Source organism: Homo sapiens, chromosome 11 (genome assembly GCF_000001405.40).
Source record: "Homo sapiens chromosome 11, GRCh38.p14 Primary Assembly".
Lineage (NCBI taxonomy): Eukaryota > Metazoa > Chordata > Mammalia > Primates > Hominidae > Homo > Homo sapiens.
In genome coordinates, this window is record NC_000011.10 from 3,686,954 (window position 1) to 3,699,603 (window position 12,650).

At 42.8% G+C, this 12,650-nt stretch overlaps 1 protein-coding gene and 1 non-coding gene across 11 annotated transcripts in view, besides 1 other annotated feature; one reads left to right on the top strand and one right to left on the bottom strand.

Moving 5' to 3' along the window:
* The window catches only part of NUP98 (nucleoporin 98 and 96 precursor), a 122,545-nt gene that overhangs the window by 11,944 nt on the left and 97,951 nt on the right, over positions 1 to 12,650 (bottom strand). For all 10 annotated transcript variants that reach the window (NR_157591.1, NR_157590.2, NR_157589.2 and 7 more), the window contains 4 exons: positions 12,129 to 12,395; positions 8,496 to 8,653; positions 6,279 to 6,422; positions 4,394 to 4,536 (listed from right to left, as the gene is read on the bottom strand). Coding sequence is in view for 7 of the 10 variants with exons in the window: in NM_001365128.2 (NP_001352057.1) it covers positions 4,394 to 4,536; positions 6,279 to 6,422; positions 8,496 to 8,653; positions 12,129 to 12,395 (712 nt within the window). In the remaining 3 variants the exon portion in view is untranslated. The remainder of the gene's footprint in view (positions 1 to 4,393; positions 4,537 to 6,278; positions 6,423 to 8,495; positions 8,654 to 12,128; positions 12,396 to 12,650) is intronic.
* On the top strand, positions 5,090 to 5,192 carry LOC124902832 (small nucleolar RNA U13). The gene has a single exon (XR_007063017.1). It is a non-coding gene; the product is annotated as a small nucleolar RNA U13 (small nucleolar RNA).
* Positions 9,482 to 9,702: a silencer, noted in NCBI's record as "fragment chr11:3717665-3717885 (GRCh37/hg19 assembly coordinates)". NCBI's record gives its function as "represses an EF-1alpha promoter that drives an FKBP-Casp9 reporter gene in an ReSE screen in phorbol 12-myristate 13-acetate-treated (for megakaryocytic differentiation) K562 erythroleukemia cells {active_cell/tissue: K562(+PMA)}" and the evidence as "EXISTENCE:reporter gene assay evidence [ECO:0000049][PMID:32094911]".

Below are 12,650 nucleotides of genomic sequence, written 5' to 3' on the forward strand. Positions count from 1 at the left end.
TCTGACAGGGTGAGACTCCAACTCAAAATAATAATAATAATGATGACTCAATTGTAACCTCAACCTCCTGGGCTCATGCGATCCTCTCACTTCAGCCTCCTAAGTAGCTGGGACTACAGATGCATGCCACCATGCCCACCCAATTTAAGAAATTTATTTTTGTAGAGATGGGGTCTCATTATATTGCCCAGGTTGGTCTTGAGCTCCTGGGTTCAAGTGATCGTCCCACTTCAGCGTCACAAACTGCTGGGATTATAGGCATGACGCACCATACCTGGCCTGTTTTCTTATTACTGAATTTTCAGAGTTCTTGATGTATTCCTGGATACAAGTTCTCTATCAGATCTACGAATTGCAAGTATTTTCTCCCAATCTATGGTTTACCTTTTCATTCTCTTAACAGTCTTTCTATGAGCAGTAGTTTTGAAATTTTGTTGAAGTCCAATTTACCAATTTTTTTCTCTTATGAATTGTGTTATTTAGTGTCCACCTAAGAAATCTTCTGCCTAACCTACAGTTGCAAAAATTTTCTGCTTTGTTTTCTTCTAGAAGGTTTATAGTTAAGTTGAAATTTAGGTTTGTAATCCATTATGAGCTGGATAAACAATAGACACAACTAATGAGGCCAGAAGGTGGTTCTTTGAAAAGGTCAATATGATTGCTAAACTCTAGGTACACCAACCAAGAAAAAAAGAGGACGCAATTATTGAACACAAATGACCAGTATCAAAAAGAAAGAGACGTTGTTAAAGATCCTACAGATATTTAAAATGGTTAATAAGGAAATGTTATTAATAACTTGATGCTAATAAATTTTGTGACTTTAGGCCGGGTGCGGTGGCTCACGCCTGTAATCCCAGCACTTTGGGAAGCCAAGGCGGGTGGATCACGAGGTCAGGAGATCGAGACTATCTTGGCTAACAAAACAAGGCTGGGTGCAGTGACTCATGCCTGTAATAGACATTTTAGCAAAGATGTACAGATGGTAAATAAGCACATGACAAAGTGCTCAACATCATTAGACATTAGGGAAATGCAAATGAAACAATGAGAATTTCCAGTATGGGAAGATGAAAAAGTTCTGGAGAGGGTGGTGATGATTGTATAGCAATGTGAATGGACTTAATGCCACTGAACAGTATGCTTAAAATGGTTAAAACAGTAAATTTGGCCGGGCACGGTGGCTCACGCCTGTAATCCCAGCACTCTGGGAGGCTGAGGTGAGCGGATCACGAGGTCAGGAGATCCAGACCATCCTGGCTAACATGGTGAAACCATGGTGAAACCCCGTCTCTACTAAAAATTAGCCGGGCGTGGTGGTGGGTGCCTGTAGTCCCAGCTACTCGGGAAGCTGAGGCAGGAGAATGGTGTGAACCCAGGAGGCAGAGCTTGCAGTGAGCCTAGTTCGCGCCACTGCACTCCAGCCTGGGCGACAGAGCGAGACTCCATCTCAAAAAATAATAATAATAATAAAATAAATAAATAAAAACCAGTAAATTTTAGTTACATTTTACTACAATAAAAAGCTACATTCTATATAATTAATATAGTTAAATACTGGCCAGGCACAGTGGCTCACACCTATAATCCCAGCACTTTGGGAGGCCGAGGCAGGAGGATTACTTGAGGTCAGGAGTTCGAGACCAGCCTGGCCAACGTGGCAAAACCCCATTTCTACTAAAAATACAAAAATTAGCTGGGCTTTGTGGCGCATGCCTGTAACCCCAGCTACTCAGGAGGCTGAGGCAGGAGAATCGCTTGAACCTGGAAGGCAGAGGTTGCAGTGAGGCAAGATCACGCCACTGCACTCTAGACTGGGCGACAGAGAGAGACTGTCTCGAAAATATATATATGTATTTAAATATACATATATATATATATATATATATTTATAAGAAATCACCTTGAAGATTTGAAATGAGATGAGCTATTTGTGTGACTAGAGAAAAAAAAAACAAAAACTGTAAGTATTTCTAAGGTAATGTAAGAAGACTTCTCTGCTGCGTGCAGTGGCTGACACCTGTAATCCCAGTACTTTAGGAGGCCAGCGCAAGTGGATCACTTGAGCTCAGGAGCTTGAGAACAGCCTGGGCAATGTGGCAAAATCTTGTCTACAAAAAATACAAGAATTAGCTGAGTATGGTGGTGCACTCCTGCAGCGCTCAGCTACTCAGGAGGCTGAGGTGAAAGGATCGCCTGAACCCGGGTGGTTGAGACTGCAATGAGCCATGATCATTCCACTGCACACCAGCCCGGGTGACAGAGCAAAACCCTGTCTAAAAACAAAACAAGGCTAGGTGCAGTGGCTCGCGCCTGTAATCCCAGCACTTTGGGAGGCTGAGGTGGGCAGATCACGAGGTCAGGAGATCGAGACCATCTTGGCTAACACGGTGAAACCCTGTCTCTACTAAAAATACAAAAAAATTAGCTGGGCGTGGTGGTGGGTGCCTCTAGTCCCAGCTACTTGGGAGGCTGAGGCAGGAGAATGGCGTGAACCTGGAAGGCAGAGCTTGCAGTGAGCTGAGATTGCACCACTGCACTCCAGCCTGGGCAACTGAGCAAGAGAGTCTGTCTCAAAAAAAAAACCAAAAAACAAAACACCAACACTGAGATAGTTCTAATTACATGGTTAGAAATAATAGCATGTGTTAATATATTATTGTTGGACACCTAAACCACTCTGCATTTCTTTCTTTTTTGGAGACAGGGTCTCTCTCACTCCTATTGCCCAGGCTGGAGTACAGTGATGCAATCATGTCTCACTGCAGGCTCGACTTCCCAGGCTCAGGTGATCCTCCACCCTCAGCCTCCTGAGTAGCTGGGACTACACACTACCACACATGGCTAATTTTTTTTTACTTTTAGTAGAAACAGGGTTTTGCCATATTGCCCAGGCTGGCCTCGAACTCCTGGGCTCAAGTGATCTGCTGGCCTTGGCCTTCCAAAGTGTTGGGATTACAGGTGTGAGCCACCATGGCTGGCCTGCATTTTTTTTTTTTTTTTTTTTTTTTTTTGAGACAAAGAGTCTTGTTTCATCACCCAGGCTGGACTGCAGTGGCACAATCTTGGCTCACTGCAACCTCCAACTCCCAGGTTCAAGTGATTCTCCTGCCTCAGTTTCCTAGGTAACTGAGATTACAGGTGCCTACCACAACACCCAGCTAATTTTCGTATTTTTAGTAGAGATGGGGTTTCACCATGTTGGCCAGGCTGGTCTCAAACTCCCTGACATCAAGTGATCCACCCACCTCAGCCTCCCAAAGTGCTGGGATTACAGGTGTGAGCCACCGCGCCTGGCTGTCTGCATTTTTTTTTTTTATTTTTGAGACAGAGTCTTGCTGTGTCGCCCAGGCTGGAGTGCAGTGGCATGATCTCTGCTCACTGCAAGCTCTGCCTCCCGGGTTCACGCCATTCCCCTGCCTCAGCCTCCTGAGTAGCTGGGACTACGGGCGCCCGCCACCACGTCCAGATAATTTTTTTGTATTTTTAGTAGAGACAGGGTTTCACTGTGTTAGCCAGGATGGTCTCGATCTCCTGACCTCGTGATCCGCACACCTTGGCCTCCAAAAATGCTGGGATTACAGGCGTGAGCCACCGCACCCGGCCGCCTGCATTTTTTAATAAACATGTACACACAGATTCACATATACACACACAAACCAAGATACTACATGCCCAATAAAATGGTAAAATTTAAACAACTAATAATACCAAATTTTAAAGAGGATTTGGAGCAACTAGAGATATTACACATTATTGGTGGGAATATAAAAATGATATAATCACTTCTGGATATGTTCATAGCAGATTTATCAATAATGGCCAAAAATAAGAAAACCTAACTGTCCATCAACAAATGAATAGATACATAAACCATGTACCCCCGCTAAAAAAAACCCAAAACTAACTTTTGATACATATAAACATGAAAAAAAATCTCACAATTATTATGCAGAATCAAAAAAGCTAGGCACAAGGAACATACAGTATGATCTCCACATAAAATTCTAGACCAGCAAAACTAACTTATAGTAACAAAAAACTAGTCAATAGGTATCTGACTGATTGCAAAGGGGCACACAGGCATTTTTCAATGGTAGTGGAAATATCAGCTTAGCTGTAATGGTAGTTACAATGCGATAGTTACTATAAAACTTATCACACTGCATACTTTATTATATGTAAACTATACTCATTAAAGTTGATTAAAATAATTTTTAGACTTCTAATTCTAGTTCTAATGCTCTTTCCATTCAACTACTTTAAGTTATATTTGGTAGTTTATATGGACTTACAGCAATCTGGGGACATATAAAAGGGAAAGGACGCAGCAAAGGACTCCCCTGGGGCTCATGGAGCACTCAAGTGACAATAAAGCCTGGCTCTCATTTACCTGTCACTGTAGAGTTTTAGAAGGTGAAAGCAGACATCTCGAAGTGGTGTCTGTGAGTTTTGCTCCTCCGCTATCACACAGCCAGAACCCTCCAGATACGAAGGAAGTGGGGAGCAGGCATATCTGTCACTGTCAGAGGTATTCTGAAGGAATAATTTGATAAAACAATACATTAGCTCCTAATCAGTTTTACTAGATGCCATTATGTTTCTTCTTTTTTTTTTTGAGAGGCAGTCTCACTCTGTCACCCAGGCTGGAGTGCAGTGGGACAATCTCGGCTCACTGCAACCTCCGCTTCCCAGATTCAAACAATTCTCCTGCCTCAGCCTCCCAAGTAGCTGGGATTACAGCTGCACACCACCACACCCGGCTAATTTTTGTATTTTTAGTAGTGACAGTGTTTTGCCATGTTGGCCAGGCTGGTCTTGAACTCCTGACATCAGGTGATACGCCTGCCTTAGCCTCCCAAAGTGCTGGGATTAGAGGTGTGAATGACCGCACCCGGCCTAGATGCCATTATGTTTCAAATTCTTAAGACACCTGTATTAAGAATGAATAGACAGCCATGTGCAGTGGCTTGAGCCTATAATCCCAGCACTTTGAAAGTGGGAGGAGGACTGCTTGAGCCAAGTAGTTCAAGACCTGCCAGGGCAACAAAGCAAGATCCCATCTCTACAAATAAAAAAATAAAATTATATAGTTTGTAGTTCATGAGCATGATGATTGGGTGTTCATGCATGCGTGTGAGATGTGCCACCCTCGAACCTTGTGAAGATATTGGCATATTACCCGTCTGACATAAAAAGATAAGAAAAAAAAATTTTTTTTTTAAATTAGCCAGGCATGGTGGTATGCACCTGTGGTCCCAGCTACTCAGGAGGCTGGGGCCCAGGAGGTCAAGGCTGCAGTGAGCTATAATTGCCCCACTGCATGCCACTCAAGTTTTGGGTGACAGACTGAGACCTGATCTCGATTGAAAAAAAAAAAACAAAAAAAAACACCTGGGCACGGTGGCTCATGCCTGTAATCCTAGCACTTAGGGAGGCCGAGGCAGGCAGATCATGAGGTCAGGAGATCGAGACCATCCTGGCTAACATGGTGAAACCGCGTCTCTACTAAAAATACAAAAAATTAGCCAGGCGTAGTGGCACATGCCTGTAGTCCCAGCTACCCGGGAGGCAGAGGTTGCAGTGAGCCGAGATCGCGCTACTGCACTCCAGCCTGGGCTACACAGCGAGACTCCATCTCAAAAAAAAAAAAAGTAAACAGACAACCCAAAGGATCTATCAGGGATTTTAAACATTTTTTGGTCAATGATGTATTTCATCTGTCTTCAATGGACTGGTAAAGATTTCAGGTAGCTATCACTAACCCCCCATACTTATCTTGCCACAATTCTTAATATACTCAAGTTTCAAGTGTTCTCTTACTCCTGACAAATAATTCTGAGAGAACAATATGAAAGACAAGTATAAAATATGAACAGTAAGATAATTCAAGAACTGATGGCATAAAAGTAACAATACATTAACCTCAAAACTGACAAGGAATATAAAATATTATATTTAGAGGCAAATTTCAGAACTAAGTTTGAAGATAAACCAAATCTGAGGTCAGGCTGTATAACAGGGAATTCCCAAAGAAGTAAGACAGCATTAGAAATGAAGAAGAACCCTCTGATTTAGAGGCAGGAAAACAGCAGTGAGAAAGTCAACTGTGGAATCTCATGATATTTAATAAAATAAAAACAGACACTTGGGGAAGTAGCCTTGTCCAGAGGAAGGAGTAAAGGATAGTTTCCCATCAGATTTCCTGGCTCCGCTTCAATTTGACAATACTTTAACACCCAGCAAGATTTTTGCTTGGCTCTATTGGCCACATATACCTGAAATGCTTCTTCATACATGCTGAGCGCCCTAGAAATGGAGGCTGTTGGTGGAAGCAAATACCAAAGATGGATAGCCAGGGAGCGTTTCCAATCCAACTGGGAGCACACGTTTATTTGCTTCTTTTCTGAGAGCTGCCACACCTGTGCGAAACAAAATCATCACCATGGCTATATTCTACCTTGTTATTACCTGTGTGTGCAATAACACTGAAGTGAATATTCACTTATTCAAGGAACATTTTAAATGATTCAGATATAAAATATACAAATATAATAAAATCTCACAGCTAGTGAGAGGGAATATTATTTACTTGTTTTTATTGACCAACTGATTGATCGATTGATACAGAGTTGCACTGTGTGGCCCAGGCTGGTCTTGAATTCCTGGTGTCAAGCAATCCTCCCTCCTCAGCCTCCCAAAGCATTGTGATTACAGGAATCAGACACTGTGCCTGGTCCCAGGATTTAATCAATCAATCAGTACTCAAATGAGATGAGAGCCATTGAGAGCAGAGAGATCTTCTCACTGTCTATGGTTGTCAATGTATAAAGCTTTAAAATGAGCATAAGTGCTGACCAGCTACATTTTTATTTCTGAAAATACTTTAAGATAATAATATAAGAGGTAGGCAGTGATAAGAGAAATGGCTTAAAATAATTATAACCCAACAGCCATAAAATGGAACATAAGTGGCTATAAAAAAGAATAATGCCAGCCAGGCACTGTGGCTCACACCTGTAATCCCAGCACTTTGGGAGGCCGAGGTGGTCGGATTACCTGAGGTCAGGAGTTCCAGACCAGCCTGGCCAACATGGTGAAACCCCGTTTCTATTAAAAATACAAAAAAAAAAAAAGGCCGGGTGCAGTGGATCATGCCTGTAATACCAGCACTTTGGGAGGCCGAGGTGGGTGGATCACCTGAGGTCGGGAGTTTGGGACTGGCCTGGCCAACATGGGGAAACCCGTCTCTACTAAAAATACAAAAATTAGCCAGGCGTGGTGGCAGGCGCCTGTAATCCCAGCTACTTGGGAGGCTGAGGCAGGAGAATCGCCTGATCCTGGGACACAGAGGTTGCAGTGAGCCAAGATTGTGCCACTCACTCCAGCCTGGACAATAAGAGCGAAACTCTATCTCAAAAAACAACAACAACAACAAAAATAACGCTTCATGACATGAAAAAATATTCACATACAGTAGGTTTAAAAAAAAAAAAGCTGCAGGGGGCCGGGCGCGGTGGCTCACGCTTGTAATCCCAGCACTTCAGGAGGCTGAGGCAGGCAGATCATGAGGTCAGGAGACCGAGACCATCCTGGCTAACATGGTGAAACCCTGTCTCTACTTAAAATACAAAAAATTAGCCCAGCGTGGTGGCAGGTGCCTGTAGTCTCAGCTACTCAGGAGGCTGAGGCAGAAGAATGAGGTGAACTTGGGAGGCGGAGCTTGCAGTAAGCCCAGATCGTGCCACTGCACTCCAACCTGGGCAACAGAGCGAGACTCTGTCTCAAGAGAAAAAAAAAAAAAAATGCTGCAGGGCTGATGCAGTGGCTCATGCCTGTAATCTCAACACTTTGGGAGACCTATAGGTGACAGGATCCCTTTAGGCCAGGAGTTCAAGACAAGCCTAGGCAACATACTGAGACCCTATTGCTATAAATTCTTTTTTAAATGAACAAAATATAAATAAAAAAAATCACAGAACTCCTATGTATAATTTATTTCATTTGTATATACAAACATGTAAATAGGAACAACATATATGTGGATGTAGACTTAAAAACTAGCTGTGTATGGTAGCGTGTGCCTGTAGTCCCAGCTACTTGGGAGGCTCAGGTGAGAGGATCACTTGAACTTAGGAGATGGAGGATGCAGTGAGCCAAGATCACCCCACTGTACTCCTGCCTAGGCAACAGAGCCAGACCCTATCTCAAAAAAATTAATTAACTAAACTAGAATATTTCTGTGAAGATAAAATTATTTATATTGTTTACCACTATATGATATGGGATATGATACATTTTAACATTTTAATTTCTATACAACTAGATTTTTAAAAGTGTGCATGCCTGCCTTTATAATTTGAAAATTGTCCAATGTGTAAAACATTTTGTGTAACTGTGCACAATTTACAAAGATCACTCCTTGCCTCAACCTCAAACCAGCTTCAATTTATGAAAAAACCAATGTGAGATATTATGGTAAAAGTAGAAGATACCGGTTTTCCAGCCAACAGAGCAAAGATGCGCAGTCTCTCATCCTGGATGAAGGAGTCTGCTTGGAGCTGATGCCAGTCCACCAACTGCATGGTGAGCAGCTCCCGGACTGACTGGCTACCCACAAACTGAGATAAAAGAAGAGCAAGACGATGATCCCCTATAAGAGAAATGGAAGTTTTTTGGTTATTACTAAGGGTTTATGGACTTCGTCAAACACTTGGGGGCATTATCTTCATTTCTTCCAGCCTTCAGAAGGGAGGATTTAACATTGTTAACTGCTTTCTGCAGTAGTGCCAAAATATTGATCAAAAACTTACCATTTTCTGCTTGGATAGAAAATTTGCAAAGTAGTTTAACCTAAATTACCTATAGACTGAATAGCATATAGACATCAACAACAGATCTACCACTACTTCTGTGATACTAGGCAAGACACCTCAGCTACAAAATGGAGGAAAACAGCCCGGCATGGTGGCTAATGCCTGTAATCCCAGCACTCTGGCAGGCCAAGGGAGGTGGATTACTTGAAGTCACGAGTTCGAGACCAGCCTGACCAACATGGTGAAACCCCGTCCCTACTAAAAATACAAAAATCACCGGGCGTGCTGGTGCACACCTGTAATTCCAGCTACTTGGAAGGCTAAGGCAGGAAAATCACTTGAACCCATGAGTTGGAGGTTGCAGTGAGCCAAGATCGCACCATTGCACTCCAGCCTGGGCAACAAGAGCGAGACTCTATCTTAAACATAAAAAGGAAAAATGGAGGAAAACACTGGGCACGGTGGCTCACACCTGTAATCCCAGTGCTCTGGGAAGCCAAGGCGGGCAAATCACTTGGGGTCAGGAGTTCGAGACCAACCTCGCCAACATGATGAAACTTTGTCTCTACTAAAAATACAAAAATTAGCCTGGCGTGGTGGCACGTGACTGGAGTCCCAGCTACTCAAGAGGCTGAGACACGAGAACCACTTGAACCCAGAAGGCAGAAGTTGCAGTAAACAGAGATTGCACTACTGCACTCCAGCCTGGGTGACAGACCAAGACTCTGTCTTGGTGCAGGGGGGAGGGAAAAAAAAAGGCCGGAGGCAGTGGTTCACGCCTGTAATCCCAGCACTTTGGAAGGCTGAGGCAGGCGGATCACCTGAGGTCAGGAGTTCGAGACCAGCCTGGCCAACATGACGAAACGGCATCTCTACTAAATATACAAAAGTTAGCCGAGTGTGGTGGCACGTTACCTGTAATCCCAGCTACTCAGGAGGCTGAGGCAGGAGAATCGCTTGAACCCAGGAGGCAAACGTTGTAGTGAGCCAAGATTATGCCACTGCACTCCATCCTGGGGTACAGAGCGAGACTGTCTCGAAAACAAAAACAAAAACAAAACAAAAAACAAAAAAAAAGGGGGGGAGTAGTAAAGCAAAAGCTTTTAGTAACCTAAAAGGCAGTACCTTTACCAGAGGTTTAGCCTTACAGTCAAAATAAACAGGAAGAAAGTGGAGTTTATGAATCAACAGCCCTAAGAATCTGACTCTGGCATGCCTTAAGATCCTCTCCTACTACATGTTGGTGTCCTGGTGAGCATAACCTTTTTTTAATGATTCATAATAAGTTCATACAAGATCAATCCCAAAGATAAATTCTCACTGTACAAATGCACAAAGACCATAAATAGTACCAGACGGAGGCTGGATGTGGTGGCTCACGCCTCTAATCCCAGCACTTTGGGAGGCTGAGGCAGGAGGGCTGCTTGACGCCAGGAGTTTGAGACCAGCCTGGTCAACATACAGACCCCATCTCTATTTAAAAAATAAAAAGAAAAGAAAACAGGAAGCTACCAGGCTAAATGTGTAGTGACAGTGGAATGCAACAAGCCCTTTATATAGCTTACTGATTCTGGCTTTTCCTGTGATTTGTTCCTTATAATCCCAAAAGTGGCAAAACTCTTCAAAATAAATCCAGTCGATGGCTCCAATTAGTTGGCTTTGGATAAATTAGGTTCCAACAATCAAGGTTTGAATAAGGATCTGATCATATTAGATTAAGCTGAACTATGCCATCCTGTATTCTTATCAAGACTTTATGGCCAGGCACGGTGGCTCATGCCTGTAATCCCAGCACTTGGGAGGCCAAAGTGGGTGGATCACTGGAAGTCACGAGTTTGAGACCACCCTGGCCAACATGGCGAAACCCTGTCTCTACTAAAAATAAAAAAAAAGACAACTAGCTGGGCATGGTGGCAGGCACCTGTAATCCCAGCTACTCAGGAGGCTGAGGCAGGAGAATCGCTTGAACCCAGGAAGTAAAGGTTGCAGTGAGCTGAGATCGTTCCACTGCACTCCAGCAGTCTGGTAAACACACAGACAGACTCTGTCTTAAAAAAAAAAAAAAAAAAAAAAAAAGATTTATATCTAGGCAGTCATTAAGTACTTGCTGAATTGCCTCATTAGTGAAAGGGAACTTAAAGAAGTAAATATATGCATATAAATTCCTTTTAAAAAGCCAGTGAGTACCTCAACCCAGAAATTCAACTTCTATATATTTATTTGAATGAATTGATATAGAACATATTTTATAGCAATTCAGAGTACTGTTTATAGTTTTAAAAAAAGTCTCAATGTGAAGGAAGAAATTTACTACTATGGTACATTTATACATAAAAGAATGCTAAGAAGTATTTGATAATTATCTGTATTACAGGGCATTTGTAATGTGCCACATGAAAAGAACAGAATATAATACACAGCAGGATATCACCTTTGAAAAGTTCACAAGCATATGTCACAGTGTCTGGACATATTTGTATGTATTACAAAGTAAAGAATTAAGTACAAATTGCACATTAAAATGTTTGCAGTGAGTAGTAGTCACAGGATTTGGGTGATTTTGATTGATAGCTTATCTATGCTTTCTAGTTTTATTACAAATGTAATATAAAATTTAAATTTTAATCAAGTAAACAATGTTTAAGGTCCTAAAAAAAGAATTAGAAGACATAGTTCGGCTGGGTGCAGTGGCTCACACCTGTAATTCCAGCACTTTGGGAGGCCAAGGTGGGTGGATCACCTGAGGTCAGGAGTTCGAGACCAGCCTGACCAACATGGTGAAACCCTGTCTCTACTAAAATACAAAAATTAGCCAGGTGTGGTAGCAGGCACCTGTAATCTCAGCTACTTGGGAGGCTGAGGCAAGAGAATCGCTTGAACCCAGGAGGAGGAGGTTGCAGTGAGCCGAGATCGCACCATTGTACTCCAGCCTGGGCAACAAGAGTGAAACTGTCTCAAAAAAAAAAAAAAAAAAAAAAAAAAGTCATGGTTCCTATTCTATAGGAATAGGTGGGTGTGATCTACCCACCTTGGCCTCCCACAGTGCTGGAATTACAGGCATGAGCCACTGAGCCCAGCCGCACTATGTCTTCTAATTCTCTGTTTAGGACCTTAAACATTGTTTACTTGATTAAAAGTTAAATTTTATGTTATATTACATATTCCACGGGAACCAGCAATCTTTCTGGGAAGTCCGCAATTAATACTCATAGGCTAGAAGCCAAAGGGAAATGCACAATTAGCGGGGAGCGGTAGGAGGCAGTGAGTAGGAAGGCGACAGAGGCGCAGAGAAGGACCATATGCCTTCCCCACCTGACTGCTGGGCCAGAGAGCAGGCCTCACTGATCCTTTTGCCTGTGAGGTAGCTGAATACAGCCTCCACAGGGCTGTTTTTTTGGGTTAAGGAGACTTCCTCTTCAATCTGAGGTGTGGCAGTACAGGATAGCCAGCGGGAGAAAGCTCTTCTTCGCTCCAGAATTTGAATGTATTCACGGGGTTCATTTAGCTGGCTGTCAAGCTCCTTCAGGTGGCCCCATAGGGCTTCACATAGTGTCCATGTCAGGCTCCAGTGCTTCACAACTAAGGCAGGAAGAGAAAAACAATGTTACGAGACAAAGTCTTACAACAACTTCACAGAGGGCATCCTTCTAACTGTGATGTTAAAAATACATAAATTAATAGACATCTCAAACAACCACTCAAGCTGATTACCCTGAATCTGTCTCTACCTCACTCAACTTCGTCTTACAATTTCCAGAAGTACATAGTATAAATAAATGCTTGCTCATATCATGTTTCTGTGGTACTTACATAACAAATGTAACCGTTAAACAG